At 45.1% G+C, this 25,333-nt stretch overlaps 1 protein-coding gene across 3 annotated transcripts in view, besides 4 other annotated features; it reads right to left on the bottom strand.

The window, feature by feature from the left end:
• Positions 1–7,749, bottom strand: part of CMKLR1 (chemerin chemokine-like receptor 1) — a 51,266-nt gene extending 43,517 nt beyond the window's left edge. For all 3 annotated transcript variants that reach the window (NM_001142344.2, NM_004072.3, NM_001142343.2), the window contains exon 1: positions 7,465–7,749. The gene's annotated coding sequence lies outside the window, so the exon portion shown is untranslated. The remainder of the gene's footprint in view (positions 1–7,464) is intronic.
• Positions 2,648–2,797: an enhancer, noted in NCBI's record as "active region_6959". NCBI's record gives its function as "activates an Ori minimal core promoter by ATAC-STARR-seq in GM12878 lymphoblastoid cells {active_cell/tissue: GM12878}" and the evidence as "EXISTENCE:reporter gene assay evidence [ECO:0000049][PMID:35858748]".
• Positions 7,182–7,805: an enhancer, noted in NCBI's record as "H3K4me1 hESC enhancer chr12:108732521-108733144 (GRCh37/hg19 assembly coordinates)". NCBI's record gives its function as "activates a minimal SCP1, AML or CMV promoter by ChIP-STARR-seq in naive H9 embryonic stem cells {active_cell/tissue: H9 hESC(naive)}" and the evidence as "EXISTENCE:reporter gene assay evidence [ECO:0000049][PMID:30033119]".
• Positions 7,913–8,032: a silencer, noted in NCBI's record as "silent region_4826". NCBI's record gives its function as "represses an Ori minimal core promoter by ATAC-STARR-seq in GM12878 lymphoblastoid cells {active_cell/tissue: GM12878}" and the evidence as "EXISTENCE:reporter gene assay evidence [ECO:0000049][PMID:35858748]".
• Positions 14,361–14,861: an enhancer, noted in NCBI's record as "H3K4me1 hESC enhancer chr12:108739700-108740200 (GRCh37/hg19 assembly coordinates)". NCBI's record gives its function as "activates a minimal SCP1, AML or CMV promoter by ChIP-STARR-seq in naive H9 embryonic stem cells {active_cell/tissue: H9 hESC(naive)}" and the evidence as "EXISTENCE:reporter gene assay evidence [ECO:0000049][PMID:30033119]".

The raw sequence follows: 25,333 nt of genomic DNA on the forward strand, positions 1-25,333 counted from the left end.
TCCTAATCCCCAGAACCTGTAAATATGTCATCCTACATGGCAAAAGACACTTTGCAGACGTCATTAGGAATCTTGAGATGGTGGGATTATGCTGGATTACCCAGGTGAGCTCAGCGTCTTTAAAAATGAGACAGAGAGGCAGGAGAGTCAAAGTGATTTGATGTGACGAGGACTCAACCTGCGGTTGCTGGCTTTGAAGGCTGGGGAAGGGGACCATGAGTCAAGGAATGTGGCAGCCTCTAGAAGCTGGAAAAGGAGGGCAAACAGATTCTCCCCTAGGGCCTCCGGAAGAGATGCAATCTTTGATTTTAGCCCAGTGAAACCCATTTGGGACTTCTGACCTCCAGAACTAATAAGATAATAAGTTTGTGTTGTTTTAAGCCATTCGGTTTATGGTTATTGTTATAGCAGTAACAGGAAACATATACACTTGCTACCTGAATTCTTACTTCATATAACACTCAGGAATTCATAGATTCTGATAACTGTTCAAACCAATTCAGGTAACAAAGGATGGGCATTTGAGTGTCCCCTGCCCTTATTCCCCACCCCAAGTCATTTACTGAGCACCTACTCCAGGCCAAAGAACATGGCAGACACTCTCTCAACAACCCTGGGCAGGAGGAAACTGAGGCCTAAAGAGGTTATATGTATGTGACTTGCACATGCTCACAAAAACAATAGGTGGCCGGGCTCACCGCAAAAACATGCGGTGGCTCATGCCTGCAATCCTAGCACTTTGGGAGGCCAAGGCAGGTGAATCACTTGAGTCCAGGAGTTCAAGACCAGCTTGGGCAATGTGGTGAGACCCTGTGTGATGGTTAATACTGAGTGTCAACTTGATTGGATTAAAATATAATAAGTATTAATCCTGCATGTGTCTGTGTGGGTGTTGCCAAAAGAGATTAACATTTGAGTCAGTGGGCTGGGGAAGGCAGATCCACCCTTACTCCGGTGGGCACAATCTAATTAGCTTCCAGAGACTATAAAGCAGGCAGAAAAACCTGAAAAGGAGAGACCGGCCTAGCCTCCCAGCCTACATCTTTCTACCATGCTGGATGCTTCTTGCCCTCGAACATCGGATTCCAAGTTCTCCAGTTTTGGGACTCAGACTGATTCTCCTTGCAGATGGCCTATTGTGTGACCTTGTGATCATGTAAATTAATACTTAATAAGCTCCCCCTTTTTATATGTAGAGAGTGAACCGTAAGAGAACCCTCTAAGAGAACCCTGACTAATACATCCTGTCTCTACAAAAAATACAAAAACTAGCCAGACATGGTAATGCATGCCTATAGTCCCACCTACTCAGGAGGTGGGAGGATTACTTAAGCCCCAGAGGTCGAGGCTGCAAATGAGCTGTGATCATGTCACTACACTCCAGCCTGGGTGACAGAATGAGATTTTGTCTCAAAAAATAAAAAATAAATCAATAGGTGTCAAACCCAGGATTAGAACTCACATCTGCCAGACCACAGGGCCTGCCCTCTTCTCACTACACCACACCCTCTCTCCATTGACTTCCTGTTTCTCTGACCCCTGATTTCCAGGAGGAAAAACCAAGTGTGCTCACTGTTGTTTTTTGTACCCATCTCCCCACCCACCCACCTCCTTGCACAAGAGCTGCCCTCAGCAGGAACCCAGGGCTGGAATCTGAGGACCCATGTCCTATACCCCAAGAAAGCAGAACCGATTCTGACATTCTGCCTGGATAGCAGCTGACCTCCCTGCTGAGTCAGCCGCTGGTACTTCCAACATTGCCAGAGACTGTCTATGGTGAAGACAGTGAGGCCCAGGGCACTCTCCACCAGCAGAGCCCAAGACCTCTCCTTGGGGCCAGACATGGAGGCAAGAGACTAGCCCAAATGACATTTTCCAGTCTGGGAACCCAAGATCACAAGGCACCAGACACCCAGATGTGCAAAGGCCAATTTCAAAGCTCACTGTCCCAAAAATAAAAATAGAAATGCCTTCACTGAACTGACCACGTGCTGTACTCAGTGCTTGATGGATATGGACTCATTTAATCTCACCATAACCCTGACAGGCAGGTACTCATAGCATGCCCACCTTATGAATGAGGAAGCTGAGGGGCTCAGGAGGTTAAAGTTCAGAGCTGGGATCTCAACTCTGGAGCACTTGGATCTGGGATCTATCATCACCACAGTGTGCTACCAGCCAACGTCACCCAGACGTCAACATTTCTTTCTCTGATAGCACCACGTAGAATTACTGCCTCTTGATTCCATCTGACAGTGCAAGGATTTCTACTTTTTCTCATTCATACCTGTGTCCATTGCTGCAAAAATCTAGAGGTTCTAAAAAGAAATAACTGGTTTCGTGCTATCGCCTGAAACCAGCATGTCCTGAGTCCGGCGGCAGCTCAAAGTGGCTGCCAATAACAGGGGCTCCTCACTGCATCTCAGTCCTGGCCTACGGCCACCTCCTCAGCAGGGGCTATGGAAAAAGTGCTGGGCTGGAAGCCAGGTGTTTCAAGTCCTAATCTGGCCAAATGATCTTGGGAATGTCACGTAACCAATCAGGGCCTCACTTTCCTCATCTCTCAAATGGGTTCCACAAGGATAGGAATCCTGTCTTTCCATCGTTCTTGCCCTGTGGAGAGCCAGACGTGTAGTAGATGCTAATAAATGTTTGTTGAGTGAATTAATAAAAGTATATGTTACAAGTTTGTCTCTCCTCCCCTGAGGGCCTCAAAGACAGGAAGCAGGTCTGATTCATCTCATTTTCTCACAGTGCTGCAGCTGTTACTCCCACATGCATTTATTCACACAGGAAAGTGCTCCCAGGCACCCACTATGTGGCCAGCCCAGTTGAAGCCTCAGTGTCTTCCAGGACCACACAACACCCTCATGCACTGTCCCTTCTCTTTTACACAGCCAGTGGCTGTAATACTTGGTCACACTGTACTTCTTCACCCCAGGACCTAGGACAACCACCCAGCTGCCTTACAGTCAGCAGCCTTGGCCCATTCTGGGGAGTTTGAGCATGATTCCTGAGCTTTCACTTCCCTCATGCCCAGCCCTGGGGGAGCCCAGCCCAAGGAAAATCCCGACTCTAACCACACCATGTACACGTACATGAACACCAACATTCAAATGTGCAGTGGGGCCCTAGGACAGGAATAAGATGTTTTTCGTTCAAATCCCATTCTTTTGCTATGAGCTGTGTGACCTTAGGCAAGTCCCTTTAGCTCTCTGAGCCTCATTTTATTCACCTATAAAATGGGGATGATAGTCCTGAGGCCTTTCCATGTAGGCTTGTAGGGAGATTCAAGTAGATAATGGATATAAATACCTTTGGCTTAATAACCCGCAGCATGTTCTATCAAACCATTATTCTTATTTCCTTTTTCCAGGGGGAAAAGAGAATGGCAGTTGCCTATGTTTCAGAAAAATCCATGTTTAGGGGCCTGGAGTCTGGAAATTTACTTAGTATATTTGATGGGAATTACCTTGAGGATAGGTGATGTTGTGAGTCCAACATCACCATGTTAACTAAGATTGACTAATGGAAATGTAGACTTAGAATCAAAGAATGGAAGCAACCCAAGAGGTCACCACATTTGTGACAGAGACAGGTAGCTGTCCACAAAAATTCATTCTCCCTGTCCACAATACACGACTGTGGCTGGGAAAGAGCTGCTCTTTGCCAAGAACCTCATATCCTTGTAACTCCATGTCCTGGCCTCCTTTGCAACTAGATTGGCCACATGATAGTTCTCATGTGAGTGGAAGTCATGTCTGCTGCTTCCAGGCCAAAGCAGATAAGCAAATATGCCACCTCCATACTTTCTTTTGTCTTGTGCACCTGGCTGCAGACAATGAGGATATCTGAGGAGAGAGTGGGACCACCAGATGAGTCACTGAAGTACCATGAGGAAGAGGACCACCCTCCATTCAGAAATACTTGCCTTATAATAAAGCTCTGCTTTGCTTCAGCCCTTATGCCTTTGGGGACCTATTTGTTACTGCAGCTACTACCCTAGCTGATATACCATTCGACCTCCTTATTTACAGATGAAATTATTGTGGCCAAAGAGTAAGAGTGCCTTGCCAAGGTCACACAGTAAGCTCAACAAATGTCTAGAACTTTGGTCTCTTAACTCCTTGGAGTAGAGGAGTTGCAGTTTCCTGCCTGCCCCATGGAGCTACAAAGATTCTTAGAGGCCCTTCAGCAACAAGAGTGAGATTTAGTGGCAGCCTGGAGTCTTCCACCTCTGTTTCAACAAGAATAACACCACCTTTATCTGTTTTCAAATTACACTTCCCCATAAGACTTTCATTTGTGGAAAGGATTCTGCAACTGAAAATAATTTCAAAGCCTCCATGCTGGGGGATTGCTAACACGATCTGACTTTCTGTGGTACTATAAGACAAAGTTTCGCTTCTTCTCTGCCAAACCTTCTGGCCTCAACTGCTGACACGGAACATGTGGATTCACAGAAGTACATGAATATTTGCTTAGAAGGGAAAAAAGAAACCTTATTGTGCAGCAAAGAACCCAAGACCCCAGTGTGAACAAAGGGCAAAAAGGAAAGACTTTTAAGCACTCTAGGTTGGTAGTTCTCAAGTTTTGGGGTGCATCTGAATGACCTGGGGTGCTGGTTCAACATGCAGACACTGAAGCCTCATCCACAGAGATTCTGATTTCCAAACTGAAGCTTTAAGAAACACTCACAATTGGCCGGGCGCAGTGGCTCACGCCTGTAATCCCAGCACTTTTGGAGGCCGAGGTGGGTGGATCACAAGGTCAGGAGATTGAGACCATCCTGGCTAATACGGTGAAACCCCGTCTCTACTAAAAATACAAAAAATTAGCCGGGCGGGGTGGTGGGTGCCTGTAGTCGCAGCTACTTGGGAGGCTGAGGCAGGAGAATGGCGTGAACCCGGGAGGCAGAGCTTGCAGTGAGCCAAGATTGCGCCACTGTACTCCAGCCTGGGCGACAGAGCGAGACTCCATCTCCAGGAAAAAAAAAAAAAAGAAACACTCACAATTATTCTAATGCAGGTGGTCTAGAGATTGCACTTTGAGAAGCTCTGAGTCTACTTCATAGCCTCGCAACTGGCGGTAATGTCTGCACCCATGTGGTGTAGCTCAAAGAGAATGAAATAAGCTTTTGGTTTTCTTGTACATCAGTGGGAATAAGAGCATTAATAATCCACTAAAGAAATCAATAATAATTTCCATTTGGCTCAGATGAGTGTCACAGGTATAGACAGGCACAGTGGAATAGAAATGATCATCAGAACAATAGCTAATGTTTATAGAGACCTTATTTTACAACAAATCCTCTGCTTACAGCTTTACTTGTATGATCTCATTTACTCTTTAGAATAATCTTATGAGGCAGTTACTGATCATATTCCCATTTTATAGATGAGGAAACTCAGGCACAAAGATGAGGAATAACTGATTCCATGTCACTCAGTTGGCAGGTGGCAGGCCAATTCAAGCCCACCCCCAGAGTGATAATAATATCAAATAATATCATCCTTATTTACAGATGATATTATTGTGGCCAGAGAGTGGGAGTACCTTGCCTAAGACCAAGGTGCCCCTTCTTGCACAATGTTCTACTCCCTTTTGTGGGGAGGTCTAGCATCAGAACTCTCCAGGCTTCTGTTTCCTAATCTGTAAAATGGGCATGTTAATAGTACCTTCATCATGTGGCCATGGTGAGGATTTGATAAAATCATCTCGAGAAAGTGGTTTGCAAACTGAGAGGAGTTATTAGGTAAACATCTAAGAGATGGGACTTCAGTCCAACTTCCCCCACCCCATTTTACAGATGGTGAAACTGACACCTGGTTACTTTATTTATTCCATGAACAATGACCCTAATATATGCTAGTTCTTGTGCAGGGGACTGAGGATGCAGAAAAAAAGTAATATCCCAGATCTGGCCTCTAGGGGCCTCCCGGCTAGAAGGAGAGACAGACAAGATGACTGGTCATTAGAACACGGTGTGGTAGGAGCCGTGATAAGGGAGGGATAGGCCCTGGGAGAGCCTAGCAGACAAGCCCTGACCCAGTGCGGGTAGGGGACTTCTCAGAACAAGTCAAGCCAGAGAAAGGCATGACTTGCCCAAAGTTAAGGTTATCTGTTCCCTGAAGTTTTGGGGGAGTCCAAAGAAGGCCCCTGTGCATCAAGAGATAACTCTCCTGTGGACCTCCCAAGTGTATGACACATCATCATTTGAGTGCCACTGGTTTAGGTTAAAGAAAAGGCCAAGCTGCCTCCTCCTGCACCAGAGGCCTGAATGACCCAGTCACACTCACCTCAGCAGCCAAGGCATTTAGAGGAATCTTACCTTCAAACCAGTTTGGAAGGGGCAGGAGATACAGCAAGAACCACAGAGAAGATTGGTCTTGAGAAGGAGGTAGGGGATGCAAAAGGGAAGTTGAGGGCTTTCCCTAATAGAAAAAGAAAGACTCAGAACCTGGACGTTCAGGCGTGTGACCTCAGACCAGTGATCTGGCATCTCTGAACCGCACAGGTCTGAGTGATTGGGCTTATATCAAGTAGTAGTTCCCTGATGTTGTAATGCTTATAATTTTGCCAAAGCTGGCTTGCCCATTTAAAATGGGCTATTCTGAAGACAGAGGAGGGAGTGGAATATTTTCAACAGAGAGTGCCGGCAAAGGTTTTGTGTCCTTTATATACAAAGAACCCTTAGATATCAATTGGAAAAAGATAAACATGCCCCCAGAGGAGAAAAAAATGGGAACAGACTTGAACAGGAGAGTCAGACTAGAAATGTGAAAAATAAGTTTATAAAAGAGAATCAACACTAACAAAGAAATGAAATGCCTATTGAAGCATCTAGATATTATTCTCGACTTCACATCAGGGAAAGTTTAAGGGATGGGTAGCAACAAGGTGGGTTTAGTATGTGAGAATACTGTGCCCTGGTATAACATCGTAGAGAGGTCAAGCTGCCACGGCCTTCCAGGGTGCAGTGTGACCAAAAGCTCAGAAGTCTTAAAAATAGGCAAACCTTAAATCTAGCAATTTCTAAAAGGTATTCATAAGACACACACACAAAGATGTCATACTAAATATTCATTGCAGCACTGTTCTAATAAAAAAAAAGAAGCAAATCTATTATGGAAAAGTCAAATAATCTTAAGATAGCCTTTCTATGCAGCCATGAAAAATGTATATTGGAAGAATATAGGTGATATGGAAAAAAGTTCACAATCTGTGGTTAAGCAGGTTACCAAACTAGATGTGGAAATCCACATTCATATATTTAGTTGTGTATCCTTGCTATTTCTTTAAACAATGAACATGCATTACTTTTGACATCTGAAAATAATAACAAAACTCTTCCTTTTAACAAATATGAAATTATAAAAAGAAACAAACTTTTCTCTCTGTTAGTATTCATTCCCCTTCCCTGGCCCCCCTCAGAAGACACCCAAGGCAAGTGTGTGATGATACCTTCCCTCTGGTCTCTGCCCGGAAGGTCTTCCTGAGGGTTCCCTGTGACTGCAGGCCACTCGAGGCTGTTGGGGAGACTTGCACACCCTGGCTTCTTTCTGCCAATCACAGGCTCCTCTGGCTGTGGCTGTTTGCCCAGAAAGCAGTTCATTCATTTGTTCATTCAAGATCCCCCTCTGAACCCCCAGAGCGCCGCAGCTGGAACACCCCTATCACCCGGAGGCTTCCCAGGGAGCCTGCTCTGTCCTGAGCTCCCTGCTGGCCGCCGGGGCTGCTTCCCTGAATGGGACTGGGACAGAACTCAGCCAGAGAAACAGCTGGAGGGAGGAGAGCAGGAGGGAGGGGCAGGAAACTGGGCTGACCTAGGGCGGGGGCGGCTAGCTGCGTGGAGAGGGGGCTGCGAGGGGAGGGTGCCCCTACCAGCCGGGGACTGGGCTTGTGGGTGGCGGCGGGGGCCCGCTGGGGACGACCCGCCCCTCTGGCAGCCTCTTGCAGCCGGGGAGCCGTGCCCACTGAGCGCAAACAGGGAGCACATCTGAGCACCCGGCTGCTGGGGGAAGTGCAAGCGCCTCTGCTCCCGGTGAGGGGCTCAAGCTCCACACTGACCGAGAGATTGGCTGCCTCTCACCCTGGGCCTTTGCAACGCTGTTCCTCCCACCTGGATGCTATTCCTGCCCTAATTCGTGGCCCGATGGTCTCCTACTGCCTCTTCAGGTCTCAGGTTGAAGGTCACCTCCCAGGGAAGCCTTCCCCAACCCTCGGGGGCTGCTGTGCCCCTCAGGGTCACCCCATCACCTCACTGATGCAGTGCTGTCCTTGCCTGTTAAGATGTCTCTCTCCTTGCACCGAGAACTCCTTGCACCAGGAACTCTGTAGGGAAAGAACTGTATTCTGTTCCCTGCCCTAACCAGGCGCTAAGTGCCTGGTTCATCGGCTGTGTGGTCACCATCATTAGTGGAATAATCAAAACAACCGACAGCCAGGCAGCGTGCTAGGCGATGCGTACTTACTCTTCACGGCAACCCTAGATAACAGGAATTATTACTACTCCAGTCTTACCAATAAGGAAACTGGGGTACAGAGAGATTAAGTCACTTGCTCAAGACCACACCGCCAGCAGCTGACAGAGCTGGGATTCCAACTATGTTGTCTGGCTCGGAGGCCCACCCTTGGCCTCCAGACTGAAGAAATAACAGAAGTGCCCATGTGGGCCCCTGTGCCAAGTGCTTCCATGGAGTAAGCCGTGTGAACCACCACCCACGTCGGGGGGGCATCACTTGCCCATTCTACACATGAGGATGCTAGGGCCACAGAGCAGAAGTCGTTTTGCCCAGGGCGCCAAGCTCATGCTGACCGAGCCATGGCTGGATCTGAGTCTGTCTGATTCCAAAGCCAAGACTGCCTACGACTGCCTAAAATAATATTTTTAGAAAGAAAAAGAAAAGGGAAGGGCAGGGGAGGGGAAGAGAGGGGAAGGGAGGAGAAGAAAGAAAGGAAGAAAAGGGAGGGCAGGGAGGAAGGTAATGGGGAGGAGGGGAAGGTGAAGGGAGAGGGAGATGGGGAGGGAGGGAGAGAAGGAGAGAAACCTGTGTTTTGGGCCTCAAAGTCTTGGGCAGGTGGAGGACTATGTCCTCATCGTCTGATCAGCCTTAGAACCCCACCGACCTCTCCCCACCATCCTCAATCCTTTAATTCAGTGAGCTTTACACTTAGAAACCATCTAATTTCATTCTTCCATTTCACAGATAACTTGAAGCCCAGAGAGATTGAGTCTCTTGCCTGAGGTCACACAGGTCTCTATAGTCAGAAGTCAGGCCCAGTCTACCCAACTGTCTTCCTTGCTCTCTTCTTCTTTGGGCTTATCTAGGGAACAAAACATCATATCGAAACACTTACTGTACAGATGAGAACACTGAACCCAGAGGAGGCAAGGGACTCACCCAAGGTCACCCAGAAGTTAGTAATTGTATTGGTCCGTTCTCACACTGCTGTGAAGAAATACCCAAGACTGGGTAATTTATAAAGAAAAAAGGTTTAATTGACTCACATTTTCGCATAGCAGGGGAGGCCTCAGGAAACTTACAATCATGATGGAAGGTACCTCTTCACAGGGTGGCAGGAGAGACAATGAGTGCCAGGCAAAGGGGGAAGCCTCTTATAAAACCATCAGATTTCATGAGAACTCACTCACTATCATGAGAACAGGATGGGGGGAAAACCACCCCCATGTTCAATTACCTCCCACCTGGTCCCTCCCATGACTCGTGAGGATTATGGAATTCCAATTCAAGATGAGATTTGGGTCGGGACACAAAGCCAAATCATGTCATTCCCCAGGTTCTCCTGGTGAAAGGAGAGGATATTTCCATAACGTGGCAGGGATCTTGTATATCACCATCTAATAGAGACCAGAGGTTCCTAAAGTCTAGTTTCCATACCAACCCCAGCAGCCTCACCCAGAAGTTTGTTAGAAACACAAACCCTTGGGCCTCACTGCAGACCTTGGCAATCAGAGACTCCAGGAAGCCATCTGGGTTTTAAGAAGCCCTCCAGGGGATTCTGATGCTTGCTCAAGTTTGAGATCCACTGACATAGGCATTTCAATTAGGAATCCATTGAAATGGGCCCTGGAACAAGTCACCTTGCCAATGCACAGAATAGTGGCTAAGAACAGAGGCTTTGATAGCAGACGGACCTGGTTTGAATTCCTGTCGCTGTCACTGTAAGCTGTGTGACTTGGGCAAGGCCTTTCACCTTTGGAGTCTCAGTTTCCTCATCTGCTGTGGACAGTGGAAGAGGAAGAGGAGGAAGAGGGAAAGGGAGGAGGGAGAGGAAAAGAGGAGGAGGGAAAAAGGAGAGGAGGAGGAGGGAAAGAGGAGAGGAGGAGGAGGAAAAAGGAGGGGCCAAGTAGAGGAGAGGGGAGGGGGAGGAGGAGGAGGGAAAGGGAGGAGGGATATGAAAAGAGGAGGAGGGAAGAGGAGCGGAGGAGGAGGGAAGAGAAAGAAAGGGGAGGAGGAGAGGGTGGGGGAGGAGGAGACGAGGAGGAGGGAGTAAGGAGGAGGAGGGAAAGGGAGGAAGGAGATGAAAAGAGGAGGAGGAAGGAGGAAGAGAGGAGGAGGAGGGAAGAGGAGGGGTCAAGGGGAGGAGAGGGGAGAGGGAGGAGGAGAAGAGGGGGAGGGGGTAAGGAGGAGGAGGGAAAGGGAGGAGGGAGATGAAAAGAGGAAAAAGAGGGAAGAGGAGAGGAGGAGGGAAGAGGAAGAAAGGGGAGGAGGGGGTCAGAAGGAGGAAGGGGGAAAGAGAAGAAGGGGAGGAAAGGGAGATAAAGGAGAGGGGAGGAGAAGAAGGAGTGGGGGAGAGGAGGGAGAGTGGGAGAGAAGAGAAGGAGGCCAGAAGGCAGCCTTCGAGGAAGATCAAGCACACGGGTACTATGGAAGAGGAGCTGGGTAAATCCAGCCCGGGGATGGACTCCTGGACATGCCTCTTCCTCCCTGGAGGTGGCTGTGGCTGTGGCATGCCTCCCTCTGCCTCTGGCCTCCCAGCCAAACCTAAGCTCGGGTCTCATCAGCTAGGAGCCACAACTGGCAGAGCAAGGACACTGGTCCCCCAGCCAGCTGGGTCCCTGGGTGGCTGGCAGAGGAGGTGGGAACCCACAGCCCCACTGGGCCAGTGAGGAAGGCGTGGGGCTGCCTGGCTTATGACTCTCCACCTGGTGGCTGTGGGACAATCTGAAGCCACGGGCCTTTGGCCATCCCTTTTGAACAGGGCTGAACAGTTTGGCTTTTCTTTCTTGGAGCAAAAAGTGTTTGTTGTTGCTTGTGGGGGTTTTTATGCTTTTGTTTTAAAGAGGATTTTGAAATCTAAGGGCTGACCTGGGGATACTGGGACTTGAGAGAGAAGCAGTCTCCTCCAGGACCCTCAGAGGAACCTCTGTGTACACCCCTGGCAGCTCCACATAGAATCAGGATGGAGGGTCAAGCTTCCTTTTGAGGTCCAGCTCGGGTTGACTGGTTCTTGATTCCTGGAGCTCTGTGTTAAAGGGAATCTGAGGCCACATCCTGGCCTGGCTGCAAGGAACTCAGTGATCCGTGAGCAATGCCTGCCCTGGACCTGGAGTGGGAGGAGGGTTGCCTTTCTCATCCCATGCTGTCCTCCAACTAAACTCTGTCCCATTGGCGCAGGGTGGACTGGTTCAGCAGGGACTGGTTCCACCCCTACCACTCCCTCTCCTGGTACTGGCTGTGCCTAGTGTAATGGAGCTTATATCTCATTCCCAAGCCACTGGGTAGCTCCTTCCGGCAGATCTTTAGTGTTCACAGATTCCTAACACTCTACTTAAAGCTGAACGGTTTCCCCAGCCTCCCTGATCATCAGTGGCTAAACTAGGCTCAGCAGAGAGGCTCCCAACCAAAGGAGGTCTTCAAAGATGCATCCTGCCACATGAAGGATCCTCTCTAAGTCCAAACTCTGCCTACTTTGGACTTTCTTTAAGGCATAGACAGGCCACATGGGAATGAGAGCTCCTCTATTTCAGCCAAAGATGGGCTGTGTGACCTTGGGGGACTCATATACCTTCTCTGGTTCATTCAGTGCTCAATAGATGCTTACTGGACCCCATCTCTGTGGCAGGCACAGGCTGGTGAACAAGACAGCCATGCCCTATGCTCAGGAAGCTGGCCTGCTGGAGAATTCATTTTATTTATTTATTTACTTTTTTAAAAAATTCTTTTGAGACTGAGTCTCCCTCAATCTGTTGCCCAGGCTGGAGTGCAGTAGCAAGATCTGGGCTCACTGCAAGCTCAGCCTCCTGGGTTCAAGTGATTCTCTCACCTCAGCCTCCCAAGTAGCTGGGATTATAGGCACGCACCATCACACCTGGTAAGTTTTGTATTTTTAGTAGAGATGGGGTTTCGCCATGTTGGCCAGGCTGGTCTCGAACTCCTGACCTCAAGTGATCCTTCCACCTTGGCCTCCCAAAGTACTGGGACACAGGCGTGAGCCACCGCGCCCAGTGAAACTCCCCATTTTAAATGAGATATGATGCTTTCTAAGAACCCCTTAATTACCAGGAAAGATTCTCAGGCAGGCTAGGCATGGTGCCTCACGCCTATAATCCCAGCATTTTGGGAGGCCAAGGCAGGACAATTGCTTGAGGCCAGGAGTTCAAGACCAGCCTGGCCAACATCGTGAAACCCTATCTCTGCTAAAAAAGATAATAGCGAAGCATGGCAGCACATGCCTGTAATCCCAGCTTTTTGGGAGGCTGAGGCAGGAGAATTGCTTGAACCAGGAGGTGGAGGTTGCAGTGAGACAAGATGGCACCACTGCACTCCAGCCTGGGCCACCACGCAAGACTCTGTCTTAAAAATAATAATAAAAATAAAAATAAAAGATTCTCAGGCAACTAACACGTCCTGAAGATGCAAGCAGCCTTTAAAAGAGCAGAGGGCAAAATAGGCTGGAAGACTGTGACAGGCAGAATAATGGTCCCCCAAGATACCCACATCCCAATCCACAGAACCCGAGAATATGTTACCTATGTTACCTTAGGTGGTAAAAGGGAAAGGATTTTGCAGATGTGATTGAATTACAGATCTTGAGATGGGGAGATTAGCCTGGATCATACAGGCGAGCCCAGTGTCCTATTAAGAGTCCTATTAAGAGTAAGGCAGGAGATCAGGGCAGGGAGAAGGCAGTGGGGTGATGAAGGAAGCAGAGATTTACTGATGTGACCAGGAGCCAAGGAGTGTGGGCAGCCTGCAGACACCAGAAGAGGCAAAGAACAGATTCTCCCCTGCAGCCTCCAAGAGGAACCAGCCCTACGAAAACTTTGATTTTAGCCCATGAGGCTCATTTTGGACTTCTGAGCTCCAGAACTGTAGGGATACAAATCTGTATTATTTTAAGCCACTAAGTTTGTGGTGATTTATTCTAGCAGCAGTAGAAATCTAATACAAGAGCTGTTTCAAAGAAGACCAGAACATTGGGCTTGGGGGCAGGCAGATCTGGGTTTGAGTCTCTGCTCCACTTGCTAGCTGTGTGGGCTTGTGCAATTTCCTAACCTCCCTGAATCTAATAGAGTCCCTACCTCAAAAGGTTGGTGGGAAAATTAGAGTTGATACACATAACATGCTTAGAAAACTGTCTAGCCCAACTGTCATGTAGTAAATATTGGATTTCCACCCCCTTCTATTGAGCATTAAAAAGGCCACATACCTTGTGCAGGAGGTGGGTTTTATGAGGGGGAAAAAGGCCACATTCCCAAATGCAGGCCCTCAATTGTGTCTTGGGACACGCAGAACTGGCCATCCTGACGTTCTATTTTGTTTTGTGTCACTCCACTGCTCAACAACATTTCATGGCTCCCTATTACAGTGTCTTGATTCTGGTCTATCAAAATCCCCCATAACCTGGTTCTTGCCAACCTCATCTTCCAAGATGGAGAAAAACTAAAGGGATGGCACAGCTGGAGAGAAACCTAGGGGGAGCAGGACCTTCAGAGGTCAGCTGAAATGTCACTTTCTCCCAACCTCTCATGGCACCCTGACCTCCACCACAGCACCATCCTCAATCGTAATGCCATGATGATGTGTGCAAAGTATATTTCCTCCCTCCACACCTAAAGCTCCAGGGGGACAGGGACTGGGGACAGGGATTGGGCCAGGGACGAAGAAGCTGCTCAATACATGTATATGTTAAATGAATGAATAAATGGACGGCCAAAGTCAGCAACCAACTCAGGCCAGCTGGGCCAAGGACACAGGGGAGCCTTCCTGAAGTCTGAGTTCTAGTTCTTAGCCACAGAGAGGACTGCAGTTACCAAGACAGGAAAGTTGAGCATTGAGCTGTCACCAGACACGTGCTATGCCCCCAGACAAATATTTTATTGGAAACAGGATTCAAGTCTGTGCAGTGTGTTTCAGGAACTGTGAGAGTTACTTCTGTCCTATAGACCAGGCTCAGAGAAGGAGGGGGAAGGAGGAGGGAGTTTCTTAAGGACTTGGAGACTGAGGTGGAAAGACAGACAATTGTGAAGTTGAGGTTTTGGAACTGAGAAAGAGAAACAGAAGGAAAAAACTGGCAGCCTAGTCTGTTCTGTCCATTAGATGAGCATCCAGGCCCCCAGACTTTTGTCCAAGCTGGAAAGGGTTAACAGCACTGAAGGGTTAATGGCCCTCAGTGAGGATGGGAGTCAGGAGGCCCCACCTCTAAGGCCAGCAGAGGGGTTTTCTCTGATGGGGGAGGGCAAGGCCCACTGCTCTCTGGTGAGCCCTGGGGACCCCACCTACCCAGCCCCTTCTGAAAAAGGTAGTTTTCCACTCTGGGGGTGGTGGGACCACCCTGGATGCCTGGGAGGGGTCGGAGGGCTGGGCAAGGTTGCTCTAGAGCATTTTTCCTGGACCCCAGACTGGGATGGGAGGAGCTCGGAGCTGATGAGACCTGTGGCTGTTCCCCAGCACTCAGGTGACGTCCAACTGCACATAGCTTCGTTCTGCGAAAGCTTCCATTTCTGGGGGGTGAGAGACATGCAGTGGGGAGAGACATGGGGAATGGAGGCCCAGAGAAGTTTAGTGACTGCCCAAAGCCACACCGCAAGTCTTGAGCAGCTGATCTAATCTCCCAACTCCCAGAGAACTCCACCAGCCCCCATTTCACACACACAGACACAGGGGCTTCTGGTGGCCTCACCCCTGGCCATCCCCCTAGCTGCATGGCCTACCTCTTCCCCTCCTACTCTGAACCTATCATGCAATTTAAAGACTCCACACCTTTGTTAGAACTGCCCCTTTGGCCAGATATACCCTCTTGCTACCATGTGCCCAGCCACCAAGTAACCTCCTGGTCATCTTTCAAAATCTAGCTCAGATGTCCTGTCCTCCAGGCAGCCTTCCAGGATTGTTTCTTCTCTTCCCATCTACCTGATCATCCTTCTGCCAAGCATATCTGTACTTGGCCAACACATTCATGCTTTCTCAAATCACACTGCTTTTTCGTTTCACCATGTGTGCATCTGTCTCTGCCCCCTGGACTGCCACCGCCCACCAGGTCTCTCCCCCAACATTGGGAATTGCAATTCAACATGAGATTTGAGTGGGACACAGAGCCAAACCATATCAAAATCCTTAGACCCAAGTCCTGGGGCACCTCCACAGCCACCAGTCTCTGGCTTTCTTTTTAAAGGACCCCTTTTTCCCAGAAGAATCCATATGGAGCCCCAAAATACAAGGCGTACAGAAATGGACCTGCTTAGTTAAGGAAGACAGGGACAGTGGAGCCACTTCTTTCGACATGCTGGGTCCCCTGGGGTCATCCCAGGCTTCATCTGAGCACAGCTCAAAGTCTCCCAATTAATCCGACACCCGCTCTTCCCACCACCACCTGGGGTGTGGGGAAGACTTTTCATTTTTACATAATTTCAAACTTACAAAAAAGTGGCAAGAATAGTACAAGAAACTCCATTATAGGGAGTTTATATTTATTAAAATATATTTATTAAAGTATTTAAAATAATATTTTATTTATTAAAGTATTTTAAATAAATATTTTATGTAGTAGAATATTTTAAATAAATATTTTATTTAATAAACTATTTTAAATTTATATTTATTAAAATATTTTAAATTTATATTCATTTATTAAAATATAAATAATTGGCAACTGAGGGTAAATATAAACTTAAGAACTTCTTGTAAAATATATATTTTGTAAATTATATATTTTGTAAATATATATTTTGTAAAATATATATTTTGTAAATATATATTTTGTAAAATATATATTTTGTAAATATATATTTACAAAATATATATTTTGTAAAATATATATTTTGTAAATATATATTTTGTAAAATATATATTTACAACTATACATATTTTGTAAAATATATATTTACAACTATACATATTTTGTAAAAATATATTTACAACTATACATATTTTGTAAAAATATATTTACAACTATACATAGTTTGTAAAAATATATTTTGTAAAATATATATTTTGTAAATATATATTTTGTAAAATATATATTTACAACTATACATATTTTGTAAAATATATATTTACAACTATACATATTTTGTAAAAATATATTTACAACTATACATATTTTGTAAAAATATATTTACAACTATACATAGTTTGTAAAAATATATTTACAACTATACATAGTTTGTAAAAATATATTTACAACTATACATAGTTTGTAAAAATATATTTACAACTATACATAGTTTGTAAAAATATATTTACAACTATACATAGTTTGTAAAAATATATTTACAACTATACATAGTTTGTAAAAATATATTTACAACTATACATAGTTTGTAAAAATATATTTACAACTATACATAGTTTGTAAAAATATATTTACAACTATACATAGTTTGTAAAAATATATTTACAACTATACATAGTTTGTAAAAATATATTTACAACTATACATAGTTTGTAAAAATATATTTACAACTATACATAGTTTGTAAAAATATATTTACAACTATACATAGTTTGTAAAAATATATTTATAACTATACATAGTTTGTAAAAATATATTTATAACTACATATATTTTGTAAATATAAATAATATGGTAAGTTTATATTTATAAATATAAATTATTTATATTTACCAAATATAAACAATTTGCCAATTATTTGTATTCTATCCCATCGATTTCACCCTTATATCCTCTTTCTCCTTCCTCTTTCTCCCTCTCTATCTCCAACTTTCTACATATTTTATCCTGAAACACTCCCATTTTGCATATGGGTAAACTGAGGCCCCAGGAGTTGCTTGGTGCTCCTGACCCTGGCCCTGCCCCCATGGCCCCACACTTGGGGCCCAGAACCTGGAGCCCACCAGCTTGTTAAGGGCCTGCAGAGATATCTGAAACCTGTAATCATAAGCGAGTTGGCCCCAGAACACCAAAAGGAAACTGCGACATCAAAATTAATAAACGTCTGGTTCAACGTCTGCAATACATGAGTGAATCAGCTGCACCTCCACGGCCCTCCTGTCGTTGGAAATAGAAGAGCACAAGTCACGAGAACACGATGAATAATTTATTCTTCATAAAAGCCCAGATTGTATGAACTATTTTAAAACCTTTCCAGATATTTTTATAAGAAACACGCATTTTGAGGTTCACCATGATGTGGGGTGGGGTCCCCAAATGTCAGAGATCCCAGAGCCTTCAAAGACTTTAAAACAAGCTCTCCTTGCCTCATATCTTGATCCTCACTTGAATCGGGCATAAGATGGAGGTTTTTCCATGTATTTTTACAACGAGGCTGTATGTACCTTTTTATGTGGGTCATAAAAAAAAATAAAAAATTTTCAAAAACACGGAGCAACACGAGGAATTCGTCATAGCAACGGGGCTGCCTTTCCTATTTTTGAAAAGTAAGCTTCCCCCTCCTCCTCTTAGTACAGAAAGTTTATTTTCCTGTGGGAGCCTCTGACTCAGGACTCAGGCTGCTGCCACTGCAGAGAGATGGGAGAAGTGGGGGCGCTGGCCCTGGGCCTGGGTGGGTGAGGCCCAGGGACTGAGTTTATTTGCTCAGGGGTCCCAGGCCTCAGATCCCTCTACTGGCATCTGAGCTAGGAACCTGACGCCCGGGGAATTCTGGTCACCACCTGGGCCTCCTGCTCTGCTCATCCACGCACCCCACCACCCAGGCCGGCCTCCTTAGAAAGCCCTCACCTTATAGTGGCACAGCTACCAGAGTTGTACCAGTTCTGTAAATATTAAAATATTTCCTGATCAGTTGGTTAAACCGCAGTTACACAGGATCGTCTCCTGGGACCAACCCATGATCCAGGAAAAAAAGGGGTATCGCTTGTTAGCTAGGAGCCCAGGGTCCTCATGTAAGGCTACGTTGTTATTAGTCAGGGCCCAAGCCCTATCAGATGATAAATGGGATATTATTGTAGCGTGTGTGGGCTTCAAAATAGCAACTGGGGGAGGTAGAGGGCACAGTGTAGGTTTGAATCCTGCCCTCATACTTGACAGCTATGTGACCTAAGTCAAGTGGCTTAACCTCTCTGTGCCTCAGTTCCCTGATGGGCGTAATAATAGTAATAGCAGGTTGTGGTGGGGATGATTTGTGTTAATCAGTATGCCTTCATCCATTTGGGCTTCTGTAACAAAATATCATAACTGGGTTGCTTACAAACAACAAACATTTATTGCTCACAGTTCTAGAGGCTGGGAAGTCCAAGGTCAAGACACTGGCAGATTCAGAGTCTGGTGAGGGTCCTTCCTCATAGCCATCTTTTCACTGTAACTTCATGTCAGAGTAGGGGAGGTCCTCTCTGGGGTCTCTTGTAAGGGCACTAATCCTAATCAAGACAACACAATCACCTCCCAAAAGTCCTCACCTCCTAATACCCTCACCTTGGGGGTAAGGATTTTAACATATGAATTTTTGGAGGGACACACAACATTCAGACATTAGCACTGTAGGAGGCACTTAGCATAGTTCTCAGCACATAGAAGACTCTCAAGAAATGTTCTCATTATGTATTATTAGTTGATACTTGTAATAATTTAATAACAATATCATTATGTCTCTAACCTCCCATCCTTCATAATACTTTTTGTAACCATTTCTTAGGAACAAAGCAATGAAATCAGAATCTCTGCTCCATCAGTTACTAGCGGCGTGGCCTTGGGCAAGTTATGAAACCTCTCTGAAACTGATTCATCTTCTGTGAAATGGGGATAATACCATAAACACATAGCTCAGCTCCTGGCTCACGGTGAGTGTTCATTCCTAAAAAGTATTATAATATTATCAGGGGTAGGAAAACTATAGCCCAAGAGCCAGATTTGGCCCACTGCCTGTTCTTGTAAGGGAAGTTTTATTGGAACCCACAACCATGCCCATTCATTTATGCATTGTCTGTGGCCGTTTCCACACTGCAACCATGGGCTGAGAAGTTGCAACAACAGACTGCATGGTTCACAAAATCCTCAAATATTTACTCTCTGGTCCTTTAAGAAAAAGTTTGCCAACACTTGATTTTGATTATTGTAAGCTTCTTTAATAGCAATAATTGCAGTACATACTACATTTCAGTTCCCTCAGTGGACTACACAAGGTAAGGTTTGCTTTCTAGGGACTACCAGTGACCCATGATTGTCCTGCAATGATTCAAACCCCTCCTCAAATTGTTCACCATAGTGTATGGGGAAAGAGTCCAGAGCTTTTCAAAGGAGGCTGTGACCGATGAGAAGCCCATAATCACAGGAACATAAGCATCTGAGGAGCTGGCCCATGCTGAAATCGACACCTCCTCCATTTTCCCAGGCTTACCTGTTCTCGGACAGTCCCACTCCAAGACACCCAGGGTTCATAAATAAGGTTTTGTTTTGTGCTCCTTTAGTGCCTGCTCTGCAGCAGCTGGCTGCCTCCTGGTCCATACATTTCCACATTCCTTTTGTGTGATGTTGAGGAGAGAGAAAGGAAATGGGAGCCCCAAGAAGTTACCTAGCATTCAGCAAAAGAAACCTGTGAATCACACACGCCAAAAAGATGTCACTCGCCCCAGAAATCACTCACCCCAGAAAGATTCCTATATCTGCTCAGATGCATTCCTTCAGGACGCAGGTGAGAGAATCTCCTCTTTCTCCTTGGTTTAATAGGATTTTGGTTGTGTGATGTAGAAAACACCACAAAGTGTCACCACAGACCTTCCAGATGTTGAAGATGTTTGTGGCTACACTCGTTGGCTTTGTTGCACACCCACAGATGTCCCCCCTTGGTTTCCACCAGTCTAGGTGTATTTGTTCCTAAACCCTTAATTGGGCCCTGATGTCATCTAAAAGACCAGGCTGGACTCAGTCACCTGCAACACCCGTCTTCATTGGAGGTTCCCAAGGCTGGTGTGATCCAGGCATGCTGACACCACAAGGGCCCCACTGCCTGCATGCCTCTCTCCTGCTCATTTCATCCTTGATTCTTCCTGGCCCGCTGTTTTTGTCTTTTCTTTCTTTCTTTGTATTTATTTATTTATTTTACTTTTTTAAAAAATCAGATTCATTTTTTTAGACACGGAGTCTGGCCATGTTGCCCAGGTTGGTCCCAAACTCCTGGTCTTAAGCGATCCTTCCACTTCAGCCTCCCAAAGCACTGGGATGACAGGCATGAGCCACTGTGCCCAGCCCTGGCACACCGTGGATGAGAGCCAGAGCTCAGATGATCTCAGGAGATCCATCAACTATTTCTGAGAGAGCCTAGGTCAGGTGTGAACAGGAGTCCATCCCCAGATTGCAGGCTTCATGAGGGCAGGGAGCATGCCTGTAGAGCTGCCTGCTGAAGCTGCAGCACCCCAAATATCCCATGCATACAGCCTAGGCACCCATGTTCAAATACCAAAGCCCACAAATCCTGCAGTAGGAGGAAGAAAATCTTTGATTAGGAATCAAACTTCAAGGTGTTTTATAATAATAATGACACAAATAAGACACCATATTTTTTGTTCATTTATTGGAATACAACAATGATTCTGAACCTGGAAATCTTCGTATGACCTTCAAGAAGACTCCCTAATAAATCTATTGATCATCTTCAAGGAGGCCATAAACACATAAAATTATGCACATATGTCTGTGTGGGCATGAGCTTTTCTGGGGAGGAGGTCCAAAATTTTCATCAGATTCTCAAAAGGATCCCAGAACCTCTAGTGGTTATAAGCATAAAACCACAAGTCTGATTCATATTCATGTACCTAGTTCCTGGCACTGTGGCTGGCACATGACAGGTGCTCACAGAATGTTTGCTGAATCAATGAATCAATCAACTGATGACAGCTGAAAGCAGCAAACTGCCTGATAGGAGATTTCCTGGATGGTCAAACCTCACTAATCCAGAATTTTAGGCAACTTGAATGAACTCTTGTCAGAATATCTTTTGTCACTAGGGAAAAAAAGAGATAAACTAATGGTGCAAACAAGAATGAGTGGTGACTGATGCTGAAGGGTGCCTACTTGTCAGTAAGCGTTTGCAGAATTGCCATTTAGTGCCCTGTTTGTTGAAGCAGGCTCCCCAAGGAACTTTATAAAGTTTGGGGAGAATGTGATGAAATCAGAACCCTCATACTCTACTAGAGGGAATGCAAAATTGTGCAGCCACCTTGAAAAACAGTATGGTAGTTCCTTAGAAAAACCAAAGAGTTACCTTATGACCCAGCAATTCCATTCCTGGGGAAAATTAAACTATATATCCACACAAAACCTTGTACACCAATGTTCATAGCAGCATCATTCATAATAGCCAAAAAGTAGAAACAACCCAAATGTCTATCAACTAATGAAAGGATAAACAAAATGTGCTATATGCACACAATGGAATTTATTCCAACATAATAGGACTGAAGTACTGATCCTTGCTACAACACGGATGAACCTTGAAAATATTACATTAAATGAAGGAAGCCAGACACAAAAGGCCACACGTTTAATGATTCCATTTCTATGAAATGTCAGGAACAGGCAAGTTTATAGAGACAGAAAGTAGATCAGTGGTTGCCTTGGACTGTGGGAGGGAGATTGGAGAGAAATGGGGAGTGGCTGCAATGCATACAGGTTTTTTTCTTCTTCTTCTTTAGAGACAGGGTCTTGCTCTGTCACCCAGGCTGGAGTGCAGTGGTGCTGTCTTGGCTCACGGCAACCTCTGCCTCCTGGATTCAAGTGATTCTCCTGTCTCAGCCTCCTGAGTAGCTGGGATTACAGGCATGCACCAACATGCCCAGTTAATTTTTTATGGATTTTTAGTAGAGCTAGAGTTTTACCATGTGGGCCAGGCTGATCTCAAACTCCTGACCTCAAGTGATCCACCCACCTTGGTCTCTCAAAGTGCTGGGATTACAGGTGTGAGCCACCGTGCCCAGTCACACACAGGGTTTCATTTGGGGGTTTTTTGAGGAAAAGAAATGTTCTAAAGTTGATTGTGGTAGTGGTTGCACAACTGTGTGAACATACTAAAAACCATTGAAATGTACACTTTAAATGGATGAATTGTATACCATGTGAATTGTATATAAATAAAACTATTATGTATTATCATTTAATATGTTATATAATTTAATATGTTATATAGAAGTATATGTATGTTAAAAATATAACTATATATGTTAAATATATAATATTACATTGTATATTTACATCGTACATATTAAGTACATGGTGCCTGGTGATTGTGTTAGTCCATTTTGTGTTGCTATAAAGGAATACCTGAGGCTGGGTAATATATAAAGAAAAGAGGTTTATTTGGCTCGTGGTTCTGCAGGCTGTACAGGAAGCAAGTTACAGCATCTGCCCAGCTTCTGGTAAGGCCTCAGGAAGCTTTTGGTCATGGCAGAAAGGAAGGGGAGCTAGTATGTCACACAGCAAGAGAAGAAGTGAGAGAGAAGGGAGAGATGCCACACTCTTTTAAACAACCAGCTCTCGCATGAACTAATAGTGAGAATTCACTCTTTACCCCAAGGACAGCATCAAGCTATTCATGAGGGATCTGCTTCCATGACCCAAACACCTCCCTCTAGGTCTCACCTCCAACACTGGAAGTCACACTTCAACATGAGATTTGGACGGGACAAACATCCAAACTGTATCAGTTAGAGAGAGAAAGAGAGAGAGAAATACTTATCCTACCTACCCACCAAATGAATGAATGCATAGCTCTGCAGGTCTCTGGTGAAGCCCAAGACACTAATGCATTTTTCAATGAAGCCTCATAATTTCTTTTACAAAATTCGGGCACATTCTGCCTTCTATTTCAAAATGTGGCCATGTTAATTTTAATATAAAAAATATTTTTTTCTCCAAATTCATGAATAAAATTTGTGCTCTAAGAAGAAAAAATAAAGCATGTATAAAGCTCATGTGTGTGTGTGTGTGTGTGTCTGTGTGTGTGTGTGTGTGTGTGTGTGTGTGTGTGTGTGTGTGTGTGTGTGTATGCAGAGAAAAATGACTGGAAGGAAATGTGCCAAGATATTAGCAGTGGTTATCTCTATCTGGGTAGTGGGACTACAGTTGGTTTTTTCTTCTTCTTCTTGATACTTTTTTCCTTTCCCATGGTCTTAATGCATGTTTCATAATATTAAAGAATAAACATTGTTTAGTTCAACAGTTGAGGTCCCAGAGGGAAACATCAGGCAATGTCCTTCTGGAGACCACTTGGCACAGCCCTCACTGTGATGCACACACCCTGACCTCATGCCCCAGGCATCAAAACTGAGCCCTATGCGGGACGTGTGTGCACACAAGGAAGCTTCCAGCATTCCCTGCTTTCTGCAGGTGCTGGTAGAGAAAGTGGATTTATTCCCAGAGAGGAGATAAAGCCAGAGCCTTTGCAATATTCTGAAGAAAGAAAAAGCAAATGGTCATTATATGACAACAGCTAGAGGAGGCACATAAGGGCTGGGCATGACATGGGGGACAGAGCTCTGGACTGGACATTAAAAGACATGGGTTCAAGCCTCTGATTTGCTTCCAACCAGCTGATGACCATAGTCAAGTCACTTCCTCTCTCCATGCTTCAGATTTCCCCTCTATTAAACAAGGGAATTGGGTCCTTCTGATGGTTTACAATTCTGTGGATTTACATCTGCTGTCCTCGTTTCCACCATTCATGTAAAAAAGAGTAGGGATCCCCTCATATTGACTGCCCAGCACAGCCCTTGTTCCCCAGGAATCTCAAGAACCATTCTGCCCCAAAAGGCAGTCTCTAAATTGACACATGCCTCTTTTCCACCCACCTAATTGGAGAAGACATTCTTAAGAAGGCAGCATGAGCAGACACTATTCCCCACCCTTTGTACCCCCAAACTTCCTCAAATGTGATGATATGTATTGAGCGTGGACTAAGTGCCAGGCCCTAGTGCTATTCAGTGAATAAGACAGACACTGCCCTGCTCACTCAGAGCTCACAGGATCCACAATGACCACCAATTAAGGACCACCTGCCTTGTGAGAGGGGGATTCACATGCAACAACTTCTTATAGGCCTTACATCAACCCCATGTGGCTGATACTACCATTCACATTTTACAGCATAGAAAATGTAGCCTTAAAGAAGTGAAGTGCTTTGTGCCAGATCAGGGAGCGAACGTGGTAAGGCCAGGGTTCTGACCCTGATCAGTTACACTTCAAAGGCACCTGTGATTTGTCAGTGGTTCTTAACTTCACAGGCCAGGCTGAACAAAGGACTTCAAAATGAGGTGGGTCTTGAAGTCTCCGTCTGATCTCCACCCTTTTGATCTGGTTATAAAAAATAACTGGAGAAAAGCAAAATAAATTGCAATAAACTTGACGCCAAAACATAAAACTTGCTATTGATTTTATAAGAGCAAGCTATGAGCTCAGACAAATCAATTTGTATTATAAAACAATAGCCTATAACATAGACAAGACACTAAATAAATATTGAATCACAACATGAGAAAGTTGCTTTTTCGATTCTTTTTCTGTCCTTCTAATTATACCAGGGAAAGTCTCAATTTGGTGCTACCAGGTCTTTAACACCTTCTTCAACATTTGCCAATCTCCCTTTATAACAAAGAAAGAGCAGGCCTCAAGCTCAAAGCCTTGGGCAGGCAACAGTATCAACCAAACATTAATAACCGTGTTTTATTTTGATTGTTTATGTAGGGGTGGTATTTTATGGTCACTTTCTATTTGAGGAAATTGATATTGGTTTTCTATTTACTGTGGTCATGTAAATTTCCCTTTTGAGCTACATTTACTGATATTTTTAATGAGTACATTCACTGACATTTTTAATGAGTAGATTTAAAGGACAATATTAAATTCACGACACCATAGAAATGGTATACAAGCAGGGCAAAAATAAAAACGGTGGCAC

Source organism: Homo sapiens, chromosome 12, assembly GCF_000001405.40.
Source record: "Homo sapiens chromosome 12, GRCh38.p14 Primary Assembly".
Lineage (NCBI taxonomy): Eukaryota > Metazoa > Chordata > Mammalia > Primates > Hominidae > Homo > Homo sapiens.